The sequence below is a fragment of the Homo sapiens genome, chromosome 2, assembly GCF_000001405.40.
Source record: "Homo sapiens chromosome 2, GRCh38.p14 Primary Assembly".
NCBI classification, from domain to species: Eukaryota; Metazoa; Chordata; class Mammalia; order Primates; family Hominidae; genus Homo; species Homo sapiens.
Window position 1 is genome coordinate 159,905,867 of NC_000002.12, and position 20,940 is coordinate 159,926,806.

At 41.1% G+C, this 20,940-nt stretch overlaps 1 protein-coding gene across 1 annotated transcript in view, besides 1 other annotated feature; it reads right to left on the reverse strand.

Moving 5' to 3' along the window:
* Nucleotides 16,135–16,244: a silencer, noted in NCBI's record as "silent region_12047". NCBI's record gives its function as "represses an Ori minimal core promoter by ATAC-STARR-seq in GM12878 lymphoblastoid cells {active_cell/tissue: GM12878}" and the evidence as "EXISTENCE:reporter gene assay evidence [ECO:0000049][PMID:35858748]".
* The window catches only part of PLA2R1 (phospholipase A2 receptor 1), a 138,683-nt gene continuing 135,809 nt past the window's right edge, over nt 18,067–20,940 (reverse strand). Inside the window, exon 31 of the mRNA XM_047443729.1 lies at nt 18,067–19,277. The gene's annotated coding sequence lies outside the window, so the exon portion shown is untranslated. The remainder of the gene's footprint in view (nt 19,278–20,940) is intronic.

Sequence of the window (20,940 nt, forward strand, 5' to 3'; positions counted from 1 at the left end):
GCTCGATTGATATGAACGAATGCAAAGTATTGTTCCTGGGTGTGTCTGTGAGGGTGTTGCCAAGGAGATTAACAGTGGACTGGGAGAGGCGGACCAGCCCTCAGTCTGGGTGGGCACCATCTCATCAGCTGCCAGCATGGCTAGAATAAAAGCAGGCAGAAGTTGGAAGGACTTGACTGGCTGAGTCTCCTGGCCTTCACCTTTCTCCCGTGCTAGATGCTTCCTACCCTCGAACATCGGACTCCAGGTTCTTCAGCTTTTGGACTCTTAGACCTATAAAAGTGGTTTGTCAGGGGATCTCTGGCCTTCGGCCACAGACTGAAGGCTGCACTGTTGGCTTCCCTACTTCTGAGGTTTTGGAACTCGGACTGGCTTCTTTGTTCCTCAGCTTGCAGACAGCCTATTGTGGGACTTCACCTTGTGATCATATGAGTCAATACTCCTTAATAAACTCCCTTTCATATATACATGTATCCTATTAGTCCTGTCCCTCTAGAGAACCCTAATACAGGCACACTCAGTGACACAGGGCAGAATGAATGGGGAAACTCTGACAAATGTTGAGGGAAGGCAACATCTTAGCTGGGTCTTAAAGAATGGGTAGGAATTTGAGCAGGCACAGCTGGTGGGAGAAAACCAGTGACAGGGCAGAGGCCAGAAAATGCAAGCAGAGTCAGAAGACAGTCCAGAGTCCAGGGTAGCTGCCCTGCGGGGGGTGTGTCTGTGAGAGAGATCAAAGTGGTTGTGGTGGGGGCCCCAGTGGAAATGACAGCAGAAAGGTGAGTTGTGTCTGTTTTGTGAAGGGCCTTGAATTTATTCTAAGGCACAGATGGTGGGAAGTTCTGAGTAGGAGAACCTGCCACTGACCTGATCCCCTCTGCCTCTGTGGCTGCCTGCCTTTCTTTCTGATCCTGCCCAGCTTGGAGCTCCTTGAGGGCAGTGGTCTTGCCGTATTCATTATCACATCCTCAACACTGGGCACAGGGCCTGTCCCAAAGTCAGCTCTCAATAAATGTTAGTTTAATCGATGGATGGATTCCTAGGGCCACCACCTTAGCCTAGGGCCATATGAGCTCCTACTTGCATTATATTGCAATAATTTATCAATTGACCTCACTGCCAACAGTTATTATCCTCTCTGGCAAATGAATCCTTCTAAACACTGTTTGGAACATGCCACTTTTCTACTCAAATCCTTTCAGTGCTATTTGCATATAGCAGGAGCTCCTAAATGCTACTTAAGGGAAATTATGAAACCCTGAAATTTTATGCAGCTTTATAAATGCACTATGTTTTGAGGAGGAGGAGGAAGGGTACAAGGCTTTCATGAGAATCCCAGAGAAGCCCATGATACAAAAAGAAAACTCTAAGACAAAAAGCAAGTACCTCTACAATTTGACCCTTTCTCTTTCTTTGAGATGGAGTTTCACTCTTGTTGCCCAGGCTGGAGTGCAATGGCGCGATCTCAGCTCACTGCAACCTCCGCCTCCTGGGTTCAAACGATTCTCCTGCCTCATCCTCCTGAGTAGCTGGGATTACGGGCATGCATCACCACGGCCAGGCTAATTTTGTATTTTTATTAGAGACAGGGTTTCTCCATGTTGGTCAGGCTGGTCTCGAACTCCTGACCTCAGGTGATCCGCCCGCCTCAGCCTCCAAAAGTGCTGGAATTACAGTTGTGAACCACCGTGCCTGGCCTAATCTGACCCTTTCTCTTTACTCCCTTCATATGTCACTCTTTGGTTCAAGCTACCTGTCTGAACCTGTCTTGCCTTTTCTTATCTCTGCCCATATATGCATATCCAGAATGCCATTTTCCCTTTGTCTTAGTTCCAACCTTTCTTGAAGTTTCTGTTTAGATCTGACATTTTACGTAAAACACTTCTACCAAGGGGTTAACCTTCTTCCAAATATCTACCTAATAGTGTGAATTCCTTTCACTTGGTATTTAACATGTATTACCTCTTGCCACGATTTTTTCTTCAGGGACATGTGCACTGATTATTTCACCTAGGTTATAGATTCTCAGTAAATATTGTCAATGGTGACAATAAAAAGCAATGTGTCCTTCAGGTCTCACCTTGGACGTTACTTTCTCAAAGAAATTTTTTTTTTTGACTCTACAGTCTAGGTGAGCTTCCTCTATAACAGGTTCTCCAGGCTTCCCACACTTCTTCCTGATAGCACTTAGCACAGCTGGAGTAGATCATTCTGTGCTTGCTCATTTGTTTAATGTGTATCTCCCTCACCAGGCTGCAGGCTCCATGAAGACAGTGACTATGCCTGCTTCATTCACTTCTGTGTCCCTAATACCTGGCACATGATTTGCTGCATGAATGAATAAGTAAATATATAGTAATACCTCATAAATGATGCAGGCAATGGAAGGTCTAGACATTTAAAAGAGGGGAAAATTGGCTTGGGTGGGGGCAGCAGTTTTCAGGCATTGAACTGGATGTCCTTGGATGAGAAGCATTCAGTAGATAGAGGCAATGAAGATGCTACAAGCTGAGACAATGGTATAAACAAATTACAAACATCGGCCACCCACTGGAAGCCAGACCATGTGCTAAGCATTTCCCATGTACTCTCTTGTTTAGGAATCATCCTACAAAGTAAGTACTCCTATAATCCTCATTTTATAAATGTGGAAACTAAGACAACACAGAGAAGACTGATACCTAGACCAGGTTAGTAGCCACAAGTGAAGACACTATGATGGAAATCTAACTATAGAACTTGAATGAGTGTGTGAGAGTGTTAGTGATATTTTATTCCCAATCACAATTAGGGAGGAGGGGAAAAGGAGCTTTTAGAATCTCTGAAGTCACGTTTTTTAATTATAAAATAAATCATACCCCAAAAAAGAATAGCTATGCTTGTTGGCCTCTTGTGGTCATATTCACCTTACTCCCACATAGAGGTAACCTCTCCTCTGAATTATTCATCACTGTTTCTTTACCGTTTTCCCATATATGATTCATTCCTTAAAGAGTACCTATAATTTTACATGTTTTTGAATTTTATGTAAATGAATCATTTCAAGGGTTGGGTTTTTTTTGTCACTTGTCTTTTTGCTTTAAATTCTGTCTGTGACATTCATCTGTGTTGGTGTGTGTAGTTGTAGTTCATTCATTTTTATGTAACATTTCATTATAAGAATAAAGGACACTATGCATTCTCTTGTTGGGGGATGTTTGAGTAGTTTCCCGCTGGGTAGTTTCCATTTGGGTAGCTTGTATTTGCTGCTCTTAATGCTCCTGTGAAGTTTTTGTACCTGTCTCTTGGTGCACATTGCTAGAGTTTCCTGAGGATATGGTCCTAGAAATGGAATTCCTGGAGCACAGGGTATGTGTAGCATTACAATTATTGGACAATGCCAATGAACTTTCTGATTTACACTCCCATTGGTGTGCATAAGCATTCCCACTGCTGAACATCTTCATCAACATTGGCATTGTAAAATTTTTGGTGGGGTGTAAAATGGTATCTGTTAGTGGTTTAAAATTGTATTACCCTGATTGCTAATGAGGTTGGACATATTTTTCTCTGTGTATTGGTTATTTGTATTTCCTTTTCACATTCTTGTACAGGTTATTTGCCTGTTTTTTTCGATCTGTTCCCTGCCCTTTTCTGCTTTGAATCCCAAGTGGCTTGCACTTCCCAGACCCCTCTTGCCTGTTTCCTTCTGGTTAGGGTCAGCCAATGGCCTGAGATAGGAATTTGGAAGGAGTAGAACCCAGGGTATTTCTTTCCTCTCTGCTTTGGGAGAAGAGCAAGCAGTGGCTGTGCCTCTTTGTGGTTCTAGCTCCTGCCTGGAAGCCCCAGCCTTTGTGTTCCAACTCCCACCAGGCAACCTCTGCCATACTACCAGCAACTTTTGGGTTCTCCAACGTTCTAGCTCCTACAATGTATCCCTGGTTCCCGCACTGATAACATCCCTTCCCTGTCCTCAGGCCCCATGGATGTCAGTAGCTTGTCATAGTCGTTGCTTTCAGAGTAGCCTCATAAGCACTTCTTTTTAGCTCTTCCAACACTTCTGTAACTCATTATTTCCCTATATTAGATTTCTTCAATTGAACTACCTAGCATGGGTTTTGTTCTCTTTATTGGACCTTGATGATATTGATTTTACATACAACAGAATTGTACCTTGAGACAGCATCCAAAATTGAGTTAGATGTGAACTAGAGAAACAACACATGGAACATATTCAACTGCATGGGGAGTTGTGGCATGAAGAGAACCAGTGTGGGATTCATATAAACTGCAATTATGACGATGCCCACAGATTGTCCCAGGTGTAGTAAGAAGGACCCAGGAGGCCCAGATAAGGACTTTGTCAAAGAATAAATTTTAAACAATTCTCACTACACCACAACAATTAAGATCTGCATTTATTCCTGGTCATAAGTAAACTCTTGAGGCCTGTAGTCATGGATGTAGACCTCAAAGGGCAAATATAAGGTTATAATTCAACCACTTAAAAAACAAAAGCAAAACAAAAAATTGAGCAACTCATCTTATTAGAATAAACTGAATTTTCTCCACTGACTTTAGAAAGAATTTCAGACAAGCAAATGCCCAACTAGCATATCTACCGAACAGTGACAGCAGAGACTGGACAAGGAGTAGATTGGTAGACTCATCCACTTAGTCCACTCCCTGTCCTCTCCCTTTATAGACAAGGAAACTCTTGGGCTCAAGCAATCCGAATTTGAGGCCTGTCTTTTTTCTTTGTGGTATCTTTTATTGTATAGACATTTTAAGCTTTAATTTATTCAGCTGTATAAATCTTTTCTTTATGATGATGCATTTTATCCTTGTTTAAGAATTCCTTTCCTATTTGAAGATCATAAAATTATTCTCCTATACTTTCTTGTAAACATTAAAACATTTTCCTTTACACCTTTAGATTTTTAATCCACCTGGGGTACATTTGGCTTTATGATGAAAAATAGAAATTGTTAAATGTTTAATTATCCCAAGTTATCCTTTCTACATTGATTCATAGTGCTTCTTCTGTCATACATACACATCCATAAATTAATGGGACAGTATCTGGGCTCTGTATATAGCTTCATTAAAATGTATTCCCCTCATCTTTGCACCAATAGTAGCATAATATTTTTATACATTATACCTTTAGAATAAGGCTCAATTCCTGGTAGAGCAAAACAGTTCACTTGTTTTTCCTCTTCAAAATTACCTTGGCTAATCCTGCCCTTTTGCTCTTCTATCTGAACTTTAGAATCAGTGTGTCCAACTTTCATGAAAAACCTGTTTGGCTTTTCATTGGAACTGCATTTAAGAACTAATTTGAGAAAGATAACATCTTAATGATGCCGGTCTTTCATTCTTTGTGATCTTGGCCTTGCTCTTTCTTCAGTCTGGTCTTATTTGGCACCTGTCTGAATGCTAAACAGGGGATGGGAACCGGATTTGGCAGTTGTTTGGGTCTCACTAAAGGTTTCTGAGTGGAAAGAGTGACATAATGAGAGCCTTGTTTTGATAATATTGGTCTGAAAGTGGTAGCAATTTGATGGGAGACAAGAGATAGAGAAATCGATCAGGACTCTTGCAAAGGTCTAGGGGAACAATAATGGAAGTCTGAATTTTAGTGGTTGCAGTGGAAATGGAGATAAGATAGCTGTGAGAGACTTTCCAAAAATAACACAATTGCTCTCTTTTGTAAGAAAAAGAGCCAATCAGGCTTCCTGCTTCTCTTCTTAAAGAGAGATGAATGAAAAGCTCTGAAAGAAAAAGATGCTAAGACTTGCAGGGGTTACTTTCACCTGAGATAGTGAAAAATGATAATCACTGGAATAAGCCCTTAGAGCATCTATTCCCTACTGCTGCTGCTTCCTCTTCTTGTTTTTTGTTTGTTTGTTTTTTCGCTCTTGTTGCCCAGGCTGGAGTGCAGTGGCGTGATCTCGGCTTACCGCAACCTCCGCCTCCCGGGTTCAAGTGATTCTCCTGCCTCAGCCTCCTGAGTAGCTGGGATTACAGGTGCCCACCACGCCCAGCTAATTTTTGTGTTTTTATTAGATACAGGGTTTCACCATGTTGGTCAGGCTGGTCTTGAACTCCTGACCTCAGGTGATCCACCCGCCTCAGCTTCCCAAAGTGCTGGGATTACAGGCATGAGCCACTGTGCCCGGCCTCCCTACTGTTTCTTTTTGGAAACTATATTGTTCCCTGAAGTCTAGTTCAAATAGACCTCTTCCATGAAGCCAACCCTGATTCTATCAGTTAGAATGAGGATGCCTGACAGGTTTTCCTTTGTTTGACAATTATGTGGATGCTTGTCATTCACGTGGGAGCTGGAACCAAGTCTTATGTTTTTATTCTCTACTCTCTGGCACAATTCCTTTTAATGCAAGTAAAAGAATATCGTTCAGTAACAAGGGAAGATCATTCAAGAATAAAAATGGAAACTTTTGTTTCTTCCATAAATGACACTGGGTTTTTCTTCTCCCTTTTGGGGAGTAGGGTTTGGACCACTGTGCTGTATGAGGCCACTACAAGCGAATTTGGGTAGAATCTTTATGGGTCCTTTTATCCTCAATTCCTTCAAAGACACCTTGTATATTTTGTGACTTCATCGATTGTTCTCCTGTTTTATAATATTGTCTATGTGTGAGTTCAATAGTTATTTGGTTTAAAGGATTTTTTAGCGTTTTATTATTCTTACAGTGAAATAATGTAATGTATAAATCACCTACCAGATTACTCTGTGCAATTTGTAGAATGAAAGATAGATACCTAACAATTCAAAAATTAAAAACAGAATACAGTCATACATAAAAGTGTACCCTGTCTACCACGTAAATAGCTGTAATAGGTTTCTGTCCCATGGGCGCTCAGACTTCCCCTGTGAGTTAATGAAAAACTAAGAATATATTATTAAGGTTCTTAAGTGTGGTTCAACTCACATTGTTCTCAGTGAGAAAGGCTGACTTATGGAGCCTTTCTATGTGTGTGCGTGTGTGCATGTGTGTGTGTGTTATGTGTGTGTTTCCTATTGAAGTTATACTCCCACGTTTGTTTCTTATATTCTTGTCTCATATTTTGAGACAAAATATGTCTCATATTTAATTCATCTCATATTTAAATTACAATGACACATTGTCATTTCCACATTGGATACAGAGAGCACTTTAGTTTCTTTAATTTGACATACTCAGTTCACAATTGTTGCCTGCACTTGTTATCACTTTGCCATTCTAAAGCCCAGCAGACACTATCCAAATGCATATGAATGCATTATCTGGAGAGATCTCTGGTTCTTGCCTTGTGCTTCTTATAGTCTGAGAGGTTGCATGACCCATGTTCAAAGCCCCTGATGAGGCACATATTACAATTCTCTGTTCCACATGGCCCTCAACCCTCGTCATAGCTGATTGGATGAGGGATGGGTGCTTGCTTCAAAGACAAGCCAATCTCTTAAGTGGCTTAGCAGAATATGAAAGAGGCCTTTTCTGAGATGGATGGATTCCCCAGAAGCAGGTACTGGGATGAAGGTTTGTATAAACAGGCCCTGGTGAAAATAAATCTGCAAATAAAATCCAGGGAGTTTGTCTTGTTGCCACAGGACTCTTGAGGTAGGACATATTCCCAGAAAACAACTAGTAGGGTAGTGGGGAACATGCAGCGGGAAAGAAAAGTAAGACAAACAAGGGTAGAATCAAGCAAAGCCCCATGGAAGGTAACTGTCTCAATTCTGCAGGGAGTGGATCTGGAGACTCATGGGTCACATCATAGACAATTCCACCAGGGCTGAGGGAGCTGGGGTATTTATACTTCTATACTTGTCAATCATTGGCTAATGCTGAACCTGGGGGGACATGCATTCCCAGGCATGGTCTGCTGTCTCTGCATGCAGAAAAAGCTGCCTCACGCAGTCTGAGGGCAGCCCTCTGACAAACAGTTGCAGGTGCTGACTGTTGGGAGTAAAAACACACCGGAAGGGAAGTACACAAAGAGCACAGCCATCAGAGGGAATCTGCATGGAGCCTTGTCATTGGGTTCTATAGGCCCAGTATGAGAGGTTGCTCAGCAGGGACTACCGTGATTATTGGAACTAACCAAATCCTCTCTCTTAGGGATTCTGGGTATGAGATACACAGTTAGCAAAAATTAATAAAGCAGCAGCATCTAGGAGCACGAAGAAGCTGAAGGAGTTAAAAAGAATAGAAGCAGAAGTGTACTGTTGTGTGTGTGTGGGTGTGCCCTGGTTTCACTTAGCTGCACTCTTTCATTCCCCTTGGGCAATGGTCTTTCATTACTCTATCACTGCCTTTTGTAATGACAGAATGCCTTAAATATAAAGTAAGGACAGGAGGCATGACTCCCCCCAAAGAACCAGATGGTCAAATCCTTGGGTTCAAATACTTTATTATTCTGCTTCCTTCTGTTTCTTCCTTACTTGTCTAGGTCAGGTGAGGTATAGATCATCACTGAACTCAACCTACTGTGATTTTTCAACATGAGTTATGGATATCTCGGTAGAATTAGTCTAGAAACTGAAGGCGTTTGTAACACTTCTCTACCTCACTGGAAGGGCCAGCTTCATGGTGGGTAGTAGGCAGTTGCCTACAAACTATGTGAATTGCTGCCAAGCCTTGTACTATAAGTACTTCTACTTCTGGCCTTTTACCCAGCCCCAACTCCTCATTTATTATGTTCATTCAAATGTTTTCTGGAAATGACCCATATCAGTTAACAATCTAAATTCATGTGCTCATGTATGATGATACAGCTAAAAATTGCAAAACTATGGTTCCACAGAACAATTAGTTTTTATAATCTAGAGTAACCCTCAAATCTGTCTTAGTAGTGACTTGCCAGAGACAGGATTTAAAGTAGATAAACATCAAATTAGTGCAAGGACTGCCCACTTTGTGATATTGAGGTGAGCATTTTTTCTCCCCAGGCCTAGTAACTTCATTTATGTGTCTGACTTTTTAAGAAAATGTATAAGTAGGACTTCATGTAACCATTCATGTAGATAATGGTCAGGTCCAGATGAGATTGGGGAAGGGAAAAGTGATTTACAATGCCAGTACAGCATGTGAAAACAAAAATAAAAACAAAACAACACAATTAACCTTGAGGCCCAGTATACATGGACCTTCAGCATGGCAGATAATCTAGCTCCTTCTAAAACCAAGTAGCTGTATCCATGTCATTGCATACACCTTACCTGCACCAAGATTTCAACTTCCAGTTGTAATAGTATCTGGGAGCTCCCAGGAGTAATGATGATATGACTACATTACATTTTTTTTTAAAAAGCAACAACATTCATTAACATTTTTGAGCACCTACTCTATGCCTTGCTTTTCTTATATATAAAATGGGGCTAATAGTAATATTCACTTCATAAAGTTATTGTGAGAATTAAATGAAGGAAGCATTTAGATCAGCACCTGAAACATAGTTCTAGTATGTAATAACTGATATTTAATATTATTGTTAGCTATTAAGGTTAGTATTGGAGCTATAAGAAATAGACAAGATATCTCCCTCTCTTCAAGTAGCTCTGAGGCTAAAGGAAAATGAGATATATGAAGGAACATTTATGATTTGGTAGGATTTAGTGCAACAAAAGAGACATATTGAAGTCAGGGTCACAGCTTAAGGGAGGGAGTGGCTAATTTTTCTGGAGTATGCCATGGCATATTTTCCAGAGTGGAAGGCCATGGGGCAGCATATTGACACTGGGAACTTGGGAAGGTTGCCATATGGGGTAGTTGCAAGAACTGAATGTGTAGTGTCATGAAGATATGACACAGTGTAGTGCTCTTGGGATCTGTGAGTGGATGGATACCTAGCAGTGGCACAAGGTCTGCCTGTACAGTAGCATCCATAGGTGATGCTGGATGGTAAGGTGGAGCCATGTCAAGAAAGGTCGTATGTGCAACATTAGGGGGCTTGGTCCTTATCCTCTGTACACGGCAGATCACTGAAGGGTTTTGGCCTCCCCCACCCAAAAAGATATAATCAGATGTAAAACTTAAAAAGATTACACAAAGACTCTGACAGTTGTGGATACCTTTAAAGTTGATAAGACTGGAAGAGCTAATAGGAAAGTCCAGGCAAGAGGTGATATTGGGAAAGGTAACTAGGACAGTATCAATGGGATATAGCAGAGATAAGAGACAAGAGAAATCTTACTAGGATATAGACTATAATAAGCTGCTATTGAAAAGATTAGAGATATGACTGATATTTAAGGTACAATAAGACCCTCCCGATTATTCTAAAGACACTTCTCATTTTAACGATGATCAATCCATGTACAATTGAGACTCCTTGCATTTCTCTTCAAATTGTATACTGTGCTCTTGGGTTTTGTTGCACCGTCCAACTACACTTATCTCCATTTACATTGTAAAAATTGGAAGAGAAGAATAAAGTCAGCAATCCCTTGATGATCATTGTAGCTTAGCTTGTATTTGCCATAGTTTATTGTCCATGAAAAGTGTCAGAATGAAGAATTTAGAAATACTGTCAAGTTAAAAATGGAGAATTCTAGAAGTATAAAATAAAAAATGGGATACTAATGAGAATATGTAAGGATTATACTGATATATGTTAGTGAATTGCTCTATTAGAGTATCAGCACTATTTGGAAAGCCATCAATGTCATCTCATATTTAAACTATTAAGTGCATGTTTAAACTGTGCAAATCTCTTGCATTCATTTCATGGTTAATCAATCCAGTCTGAAATAGTTTGCCAAACAGTAATGGGATTTTCTCTAACAGCCAGATACTTAAGTCACTAGACACCAAATTATGGGATAAAAACAATCAATTCAGCATCCCAGGTAATTATGGGCTTAAAACAATATTGTGTTGAGCCCTGGCACATACCCACTCATAGCAGATGTCTTTGTTTTGGACCATTTTGATTATCTTGGTAACTCTAGCATGATGAATTAACGATGCAAATTATTTTTTCGTTTTAATTTTTCATTGTAGATGGAGCTATTGGCCTTTATTATAACTTATTTTCTGTTTCAGCCAAGGCCTAAATTAGAGCAGTACCAGAGGAGAAGGAGAGCAGGTGACATATTCTAGAGCTATTGGAAGGTATAATATCCAGAAGTATAAACGGTTGTTGGGAGAATAAATTCCATGCTTCTGAAGTGGGCAACTGGTAAATGATGGTGCCATTTGCTATGATGAAGGACTCAGGAAGAGGGGAAGATTTAAGGGAGGATAAATTTATTTTTCAGATTTGAGGAATTTTAGATATACACTGTATGAATATGGAAAAAATTCACTAATCCCTTCAGTCTGGAACTCAGGAGAGAGCTGTGTTGGAGACAGAGATTTGAGCATTATCAGTGCACAAAAAGTAGATAAAAGTTCTAGGAATGTCTAAACAATGAAGAATCTGGGGAATACTAACATGTCAGGAAAAGAGAGAGGAAGAGGAGGCATGAAGGCAGCCAAGAAGAAAACGTCAGAGTGGAGAAAGAAACTATGAGGAGTATTACAGTTTCAAAGGTTTGGAGACCATTGATTTAATGGCCGACTTAATTGATTTAATGGTCTCCAAACCTTTTAAATTGTATACCCAATCAATAAAGTTTTTTTTTGAGAAAATCCCATATATGTATACTTATAAATTATATATATTTTTAATCCATATAATAACTATTAGTAAAATTTAATTTCTTACAAAGTTAGACATAAACTAAATATATTTTTTCTACTGTAAAATGCTTATTTTCCCAATTTTATTGTCTGTCCATAAGGGAATTGTGATGATGTTGTATCTCCGCATAAATGAACTTAGTCACAATGAATCATAGTGTCATTATTTGTAAGTTTAAATAAATTTATAAGTTTAAATACATCTAAAAGAATTCTTGTAATAAATATTAACTAAACTTGTAAATGACAAAAGGAAGCTGTGTCATTTAATTAGAAGTGTTTTCCTTCTTGGTGATAGGTAAAATAATGGCATATCTTACCATCAATAGAAATTGTAATGTTTTCTTCCCACACCCCAGTGGATCATCTATTGTCCTCCACTTTAAGGACTGGATTTAGGCCAGGCGTGGTGGCTCACACCTGTAATCCCAGCACTTTGGGAGGCCAAGGCAAGCAGATCACCTGAGGTCAGGAGTTCGAGATCAGCCTGGCCGACATGGTGAAACCCCGTCTCTACTAAAAAAAAATACAAAAATTAGCTGGGTGCTTTGGTGGGCACCTGTAATCCCAGGTACTCAGGAGGCTGAGGCAGTAGATTTGCTTGAACCCGAGAGGCAGAGGTTGCAGTGAGCCGAGATCATGCCACTGCACTCCAGCCTGGGTGACAGAGCGAGACTACATCTCAAAAAAAAAAAAAAAAAAAAAAAAAAAAAGACTGTATTTTAAGAGGGAGGAGTCAACAGTATGTAACACCTTGAAGAAATTAAATAAAATATTGTCTTAAAAAATGGAAAAACATTAATAAGTTTTAGCAACTAGAAGATCACTGGAGGCCTTGATGGGGGCAGTGTCAACAGTAGAAGAGGAGCAACCAGGTTGCAGAGGTGCAAGGAATAAATAGTAGCAGGTTACATTGAATGTACACTTGTTACATTGAATGTACACTTACTACATTCCAGACACTGTGCTTAGGACTTTGCATACAACACTGAGAAGTTATGATTATCCCTAATTTAAGATAATAATCAGAGACTTGCAAAGTCTAAGTGACTTGTACTAGGTCATAAAGCTAAGTAAGTGGTCCTAGCAGAATTTGAACCCAGGTTGACCATCTCAAAAACTGAGCTCTTAAATAATATGCTCTAAGGTCTCCCAGTGTGAGGTTAGTGGAAACAGTGACTGAGTGTAGACAACGACTCTTCCGGGTAGCCAGGAAGCCAGGTAGCTTGTCTATGGATAAGAGCAGAAAGAAAGGGAAATGGGAAGGTGTAGAGTTAAGGGAACTTCCCCCTCACTCCCTCCTCCCATCTTTTTTTAAAGATGTGTGTGAATTGAGCATTGTTATATAGTGAAGGGACTGAGGCAGGAAAGAGACAGCATTTGAGGCAATTCTGCAAGAGAGGTGATAACTGATACGAAGATTGCCAATGATCTATAGCACAGATGGGAAATTCAGCCTTAAGCAGGAGAAGTCTGCCTCCTCCAACACAGGGAGGAAAGTGGTAAGACTGGAGACTGTACAGAGAAGTTTGTAGGTTTTATGTGCAGGGGAGGAAGGGAACACATGGAAAAGTTCAAGTGTAGGTTACTTATTTTCCCTGTGGAGTAGGAGACAAGGCCATTGCTTAGAGAGTGTGCAGGCTGGGGAGGAGACAGGATAGTCAGACTTGATAGGTGTATTACTAAGCTTGAAACAGTAGTTGTGGGGAATGAGAACTGTAGCTTACTTGGGACTGATTAGAAGCTATAAACTACTAATGACACCAATCTGCATGGTGTAGGATTTTTTCCCCCAATGATACCTGCCAGCTTGTACCTAAGAACCAAACAGGTGGATTGAAACAATGTTAGGATTTTTCGCAGTATAGAGAAGCAACTGTTGGAAGAAAAGGAGGCAAGGGAGTTGAAGATTGCAAGAAAGGTGGAAGGAGCTGACGGACTAGAGAAAATCGGGTTATCGATGTTCTGGAAGTCTCAGTGAAATTACTGGTTTGGCAGATGTAGTGGGAATAGGAGAGTGAGGAAGCTTAAAGAAGAGAAGAGAGTTGAATCCAGGCATTTTTGCATGTCCCCCACGCCACACCTTAGAAGGGGAACAGTTATCTCCCATTCTCCCAGTGACCATCCTTCTAAACTCTTCCTTTTATGGCAGGACTGGAAATTGGAAAGTTACATTTCCCAGACTCCCTTTGTCAGTGGAGTTTCAGTTTAGAATCTACTGATGAGGGACACTTGTATGAGATTTGCAAGGTAATAAAGGAGAAGCCATTTTTCTCCAGCTGCAGCTAGAGGCAAGCTCATGAGCACTGGCAGATGGCAGACATCTGGGAAGACCTCCCTCAGATTTCCAGGCATGTGCCTGAGAATCACTTTGGTGCTGCAGAGCTGAGATCCTCAGTAGTGGTTTCTGCAACCCACGCAACCCTAAATTTCTTGAATTGCAACAGTGGCTTCTCAGATCTTTGCTCCCTTGGACCTTCCAGACTGTATAATCTTCTAGTTTTCCATATTAAATACGTTTTACTTGACATATTTAGAGAGCTGTTTCCCTAATATAACTTTGGCTAATATATCCCCCCAATTTTTCAATTAAGCTGGATCACAAGCTTTTCCATGGTCACATTCATCTGTCAGGATGATCACATTTCTATCAGTCAGTATTTTTAATTGCCAGAAACAGAAAATAAATATAGCTAATTTAAAAAGAAAAGAAATTTAATGAAAGGATTTCAGATAGCTTGCAGAATTGCTGGAAATGGTGGAAAACCAGGCTGTGAGAATGAATCTAGGGAAAGTGGGACACAGGCAAAATCATGCCACAGAACCAGGGAAGCAACTGCCACTGTTAAACGCAGAGGCTGAGTGTCCTTACTTTTTTTTTTTCAAGACAGAGTCTCACTCTGTTGCCCAGGCTGGAGTGCAGTGGTGTGATCTCAGCTCACTGCAACCTCCGCCTCCTGGGTTCAAGCAATTCTCCTGCCTCAGCCTCCCAAAAAAGCTGGGATTACAAGTACACGCCACCACACCTAGCTGATTTTTGTATTTTTTGGTGGAGATGAGGTTTCACCATGTTGGCCAGGCTGGTCTCGAACTCCTGACCTCTTGATCCACCCGCCTCAGCCTCCCAAAGTGCTGGGATTACAGGCGTGAGCCACCGCACCCGGCCCCTGAGTGTCCCTAATTGAGAAAGCCAAGCTGTGCGCCTGTGCCCTAGACTTAAAGATGACAGAGAAAGTGAGCATCTGATCTTTCAGCTCTTAGAGTCATAGCTGTGACTCATAAGATGGGGAACCTCAAGAGATTCAGATGCTGGGAAGCCTCACAACTGATAAATGTCTACTCTGACATCTGGTTTGTATATGTGTGTGTGTCTGTGTGTGTGTGTCATAGTTTTATACCTTTTGTTTTCTTTGGCAAACCCTCCAAATGCTCATTGTCCCCACTAAGTCTCCTTATCCTTTAAGATTCTGCTTCCTCCCTGAAACCTTCCCAGCTGGAAGTGTCTGCCTCCTGCTCTGAACTCCCAATGCAATTTTTATTATTTGACCTTATTAAATCCTCACTTGATTTTTATTGATATTTGCGTTAAAAATATTAAGTTCTAGCATATTTAAGGTTGAACGAACATTAAAGGTCATCTACTCCGATGCCTGGTAGCTCATCAGCTCATTGAAGTCATGACCTGTCTTCCCCATGTTTGAATACCCCACAGTTTTGGGCGTAACACTTGCTTATGATAAACACCTTTAAATATTAACTTGTATTAAAGGAGCCCCTCCAGGATTTGCTTGTCCTCATTTCCCTGTCTGTTCCCAACACTTCCCTCCACCACCACCTCCTTCTCCTTGCTCCCAGACAGTTCTTTCTACCAATAATAACTCTTTCAACCAATTGCCAAACGGGAAAATTTTAAATCTACCTGGAAGGCCCGCCACCCTGCTTTGAGTTGTCCCTCCCTCCAGATAGAACCAATGTGAATCTTACATGTATTAATTGATGGATTATCTCTCCCTACAATGTACAAAACAAGTTGTGCACCGACCACCTTGGGCATGTCATCAGGCTCTCCTGAAGGCTGTGTCACAGATGCGTCCTTAACCTTGGCGAAAAAAACTTTCTAAATTGATTGAGACCTGTCTCAGATATTTTGGGGCTCCTACCTTCCTCACTGCTTTATTGAACAGTGGTCAATTTCTTCTGCTCGGCCTCCGCATCCTAGCCTGTTTGGGAAAATCATCGGGGTTAGGGCTGGGGAGGCAGGCAGGACCCGGGGGACGGTAGTAGGGGCCGTTTCCCTCCCACTCCCCTCCGCTCCTTCCCTGCTGGAAAGCCGGCATGTGACCTGCGCCCTGTCAGTCAGAGGCTTCAGCCTGGGTCAGTCAGAAATCACTTCTGGAGGTGGAAGCCGCGCTGTCTCAGGGCCGAGGGTGCAGCATCAGCCATGGCGAGCTCCCCCTGCAGGCAGCATCGTGGTGGCATTCGCACCAAAAGCTCCTGTGGCCGGAGTGGGCTTGTAGCAGTTCTGGGCTGCCTGCCACACTCGGTTGCCTCTTGTTTTCTGCGCCTGGTTCTCCAGCTCTGGCTCTGTGTGAGCAAGACCATATCCCATCAGTAAATCCTGTCTCAGCTTAGGTGAGCCAGAGTTGGGTGTTCTGTGATTTGCTCCTAAGATCCCTGGCTGGCACATTTTCTTCCTCCTTCTCCTAAATGAGAGTATTCCCAGTGGTTCTTTTCCTGGCTCTTTTTTCCCGCCATCCACACTCTTTTAGCCAGAAAGTTAATCTATTTCCTGGGTATCTGTCATCACCTTTGCACCAATTTCCCCCAAATCTTTTCCCAGGTTCCACCTCTCTCCTGAGTGCTGGTTTAATCTCACATTTCCAATGCACTTCCCATGCTTGTCCTCTGATGCATGAAAATCAACAAGACTAAAATTCATACTCACCAGTTTTCATCTTGCTGATACACCTACTTCTCCTCCAAATTTCTATCTTCCTTGCTGGACACCCAGACTTTAAATTTTAAAATCTACTCTGCCTTTTACATCCCCAAACAAACAGTACCAAGTTCTGTTTGTTTTCCTGCCCAGTAACCCTTACATTCTTCTTTTCTCATGTACCGTCACTACTTTGTTCTTGCCTAACAACTGCAATATGCTGTCTTCTGAGCGCCTCCTTCTAGCTGTCCCTCTGAGTCAACTTGACAACATGTGGTCAGTGTAATTTTCCTAAAACACAGTTCTAGTCATGTCACCCTCCCACCTGCCCCTCCACACACCTTCAATGCCTCAGGCTAAAGTGAAACTCCACCTTGACCTTCCACAAACAAATCCTAAACTATTTCCCCTTTATTTATCTTATATGTAGAATTTCATAAAACACCTTATGATCCCTGATCAAGTCCCATACTTTCCCACCTTCATGCCTATGTTCAGGGTATTTTCTTTACCTGGGGTGTCTTTCTCTCAGTTCAACCCAAATCCCAACTCAGGTGCCATCTCCTCCAAAACGTCCTCTTCCTTGTCACCTTGTAAAGAGCTTCTAACCTTTAAAATGCATATGAATCACTTGAGCATCTGTTAAAATGCAGATTCTGATTTATAAGTCTCGGTTAAGGTCTGAGAGTCTACTAATACATTTCTAACAAGTTCCTGAGTGATGCCACAGGTCCCTGGACATACTTGGGGTCGTGAGGCCCTAAGGTGAGGCATGCTCTATTATTAAACCACAGGGCAAGATAGCAGGGCAGTAACAATGTGGTATTCACTTACAATATTCTACAATGTTTACAGTACCCATTTAGCCTCCTCAAACACAGGGATTGGGCTTCATTCATCATTATTTTTGTTGAATACAGTGACTTGACCAGTTTATCTTAATTGAACATGCTTCTGACATCACCTCCTTTTCTTTTCCACCAAATGGTTTTGCTTACTTTTTAGTTTAACTGGATTTCACATGGATAAATATCTGGGAGAAGGAGATGCCCTACACATGATCTGCTATAGGTGAGGATGGCCCAACATGTTGAAGATCATGCTAATTTAATTATTGTTATAGCCAGCATTCTCAGTTGTAAAAAATGGAATACTCTATAGTTCAGGCAGAAAAGTAATTTGTGAAAATATACTCAGTAGCTCACAGGATTGTAGAGAGGGTCAGAGACAACATAGCAAAAGCAAAGCACAGATTATACTGGAGCACTCCACGGCCAGACCTTGTGGACATAGACTCTGCTGCTCACTGTGAACTAGAAAGCAGTCCTGGAAACTTTGCTACTGCTGCTTCTGAAAGCTGTATGTGGCTGCCACCAACCTCGTTAGACTGCATTCTGTACGGGGCCTACTTCTTTATGTTTGTGTTAGTTTTCAGTATGTAACAAATTACCACAAACTTGGTTGCCTGAAACCACAGAAATTTATTCTCTCACAATTCTGGAGGTCAGAAGTCCAAAATCAGGTATCATTGGGTTGAAATCAAGGTGTTGGCAGGGCTGCGCTCTCTCTGGAGGTTCTGGAGGAGAACCCGTTTCTTCCTTTCCAGCTTCTGGGGTCTACCAGCATTCTTTGGCTTGTGGCTGCATAAGCAGAATCTTCAGGTCCAACATCTTCAAATCCCTCTCTGGCCCATCTTTATATGACCTCCTCCTCTGCATGCATGTTGAATCTCCCTCTGACTGCCTCTTTTAAGGATACATGTGATTGCATGTGAGGCCCACCTGGGTAATGCAGGATGATTTCCTCATCTCAACATCCTTAACTGAATCCCATCTGCAAAGACTTTGCCACATAAGGTAACATTCGGATTCCAGGGATTAGGATCTGATATCTGTAGGGACTACTCTTCAGCCTAGGACATTGTCATTTGCTTCTGAATCGAAGTCTCTCTTATTCAGATCTCATTGGTGGAGCCTATGTCCCATGCCTGCTCCTGAGCTGCGAGGAGGCTGGGGAGTAGCTTCATGTCAGGAAAGGTGTTCAAAGATGAAAGCAGCCAAAATGGATGTCAAATATCAAGTACGATAGTCTTCAAAGATTCATAAAAATGAAATTCTATGTAATGGACCAGCCAGAATCTTTAAACTGAAAGAAGTTACCTATTGCTGAATGCTTTGGGCACCAAATGCCAAGCCATGCAAGTACTGCTAAGGAAAGACCATTTACCTAGAAAACAGTTTTCTTTTACTCTGGGGGCTGGGGGGGGGGCGGTGCGAACAAAAATAAAAAAATAAAAAATAAAAACACGAGAAGTGGATTTGGGGTCGTGTTCTTTTTTCGCTCCCAGGAAAAATCTGTTCCAGACCCCAGTATGGACAATTTGGTTAGATCCTATATTTTGTTAAGAATAACAGTTGGTTGTATGTCACGGTACGTTCCATTTCCAATCTGGTCTGAGGCATATTACTCCTGTGGTGCCCCATGTTGTCCAATACATTTATGGCAATAAGGACTTGGGCAATACGATGTGGATAACTTCTGTTTCCTCAACACTTTGATATGTGATTTTCAAACAAACCAAAATGATCCTTCTTATATCTGCCCCCTTTCCCCGATACACATGTATTTCTCCATGTCAGCAATGAATTTTCCAGCTCCTCTCACCTGTATACCTGTTAAAAACAATGGTGCTAACTCTTATTTTCCACGTCAGTTATAAAAAAAAACAAACAAACAATCAATTAGGATCTTGCATGTCTTAATTGTGTTACGGCAATGGTAAGCATCTTACAGGCTGCACAGTGTCTGCATTACTTCTCCATTGTAGGGGTGCGTATGTGTGTATTGACAAGGGGGAGAAAGCCATGTAAAAGATAACTGAAATTAGCATTTACAGCAACTATGTAGATGTCAATATAAATACATTTTGGGCTCTTATGTATAAATAATCTTCTGAGAACATTGTTTTTATTGTTGACACTTTCCTGCAGGTTTCTGAGACACACTTAAAATTCAATCTGTTCCCTTGAACATTTTTGTGAATTTGGCAGCATAATAAAAACTTTCTTTTAGAAGGCCTGGAATCAAAGCAAAAAAAAAAAAAAAGTTGTGGAAAAAAATGATTTTTTCTTTAATCTTGGAGGCTTCCTATTTCTTTGTTGAGAGGTTTTGTTCAGGAAGGGACTGTAGTAATATGATCTGATTGACAAGGATCCCAGCTCCCCAAACACTAGCTGAAAATTTGGGGCAAATTCCTGACCCTTTCTGGTGCTCCATTTCTCATTATAAGATGAGAATAATAACCAGGTCACCTTCTTATTTTTCAGCAACAGTTACTTTCCCCTTTCTTAGATGGGATTGGCATTTTTAGAAAAGTATATTTTAGTGCTTGTCTCTCCCTTGGGTTCTAGAGTGGTTTTGTGTACATGAAACACTGACAAAATGCCCGTCTCTGTTTTGTCCCTGAACCCCTGATTTGATGTGACCTTTTTGGTGGGGGGAGGAAGGATGAAGGAGAGCTGGAGAGGTTCTGGAAGCTTTACTCTATGAATTAATACTTCTGCTTCAGCATAATGTTGGTATTTGATCAAACGTAAAAAGCTTCAAGCTTTTAATGTCCTGCTGACACCAGTATCAACAAAGCACTGAAGCGGAAGCTTTCTGGCAGCTGATTAGAGGGAGATTTTATTTCACTAGCTTTAAGACTAAGTATACCTTTTAGTAGATCTTTCTCAAGGATAAGCTACCTCATGTATTATAAATCAAATTCAAGAGATTTAATAAAGAACCCTTGATAATTTGGTAATATATTATCACTGTGTTTTGGAAAGGCGATAAATGACTGCTTTTTATAGTGTAATTTAAAATAATAATATGGATTACAGTTGTGTTCAGTCATGAAAGTATAATTTAGCAGTTTGGGCTTATAATAACCTTTTCTTTAGTGTCCACACTTATTTTAGATCAAGAATGGCTTACTTGGGAATGATTTACTATGCTTGCTCCCAGAGTCTAGTAGGGCTGAACATGTGTTTAATTGGAATTTTATGTTGTTGTGTTGGAAAAGCTTCCCACAAAAATGAAATGGAAAGTTGGGGGAAAAAAGATGGCTAAATAGTGAGCCATTCCAATATCAAAAGCATGTGGCATGTTTGCAAGCTTGCTGTATAAGTAGGGGCTCTCCAGGAAATGGGTGGCTCACTCGAAGTGGTCACTGGAGAGAGTTTAATAAAGGGACTACTGTATTTATAAAGGTGTGAGAAGGTTAAGGGAAGTAACAAGGGATGATGAACTACCCCTTCCCCCCACCCAGCTCCATGGAGCAGGGAGCCTTCA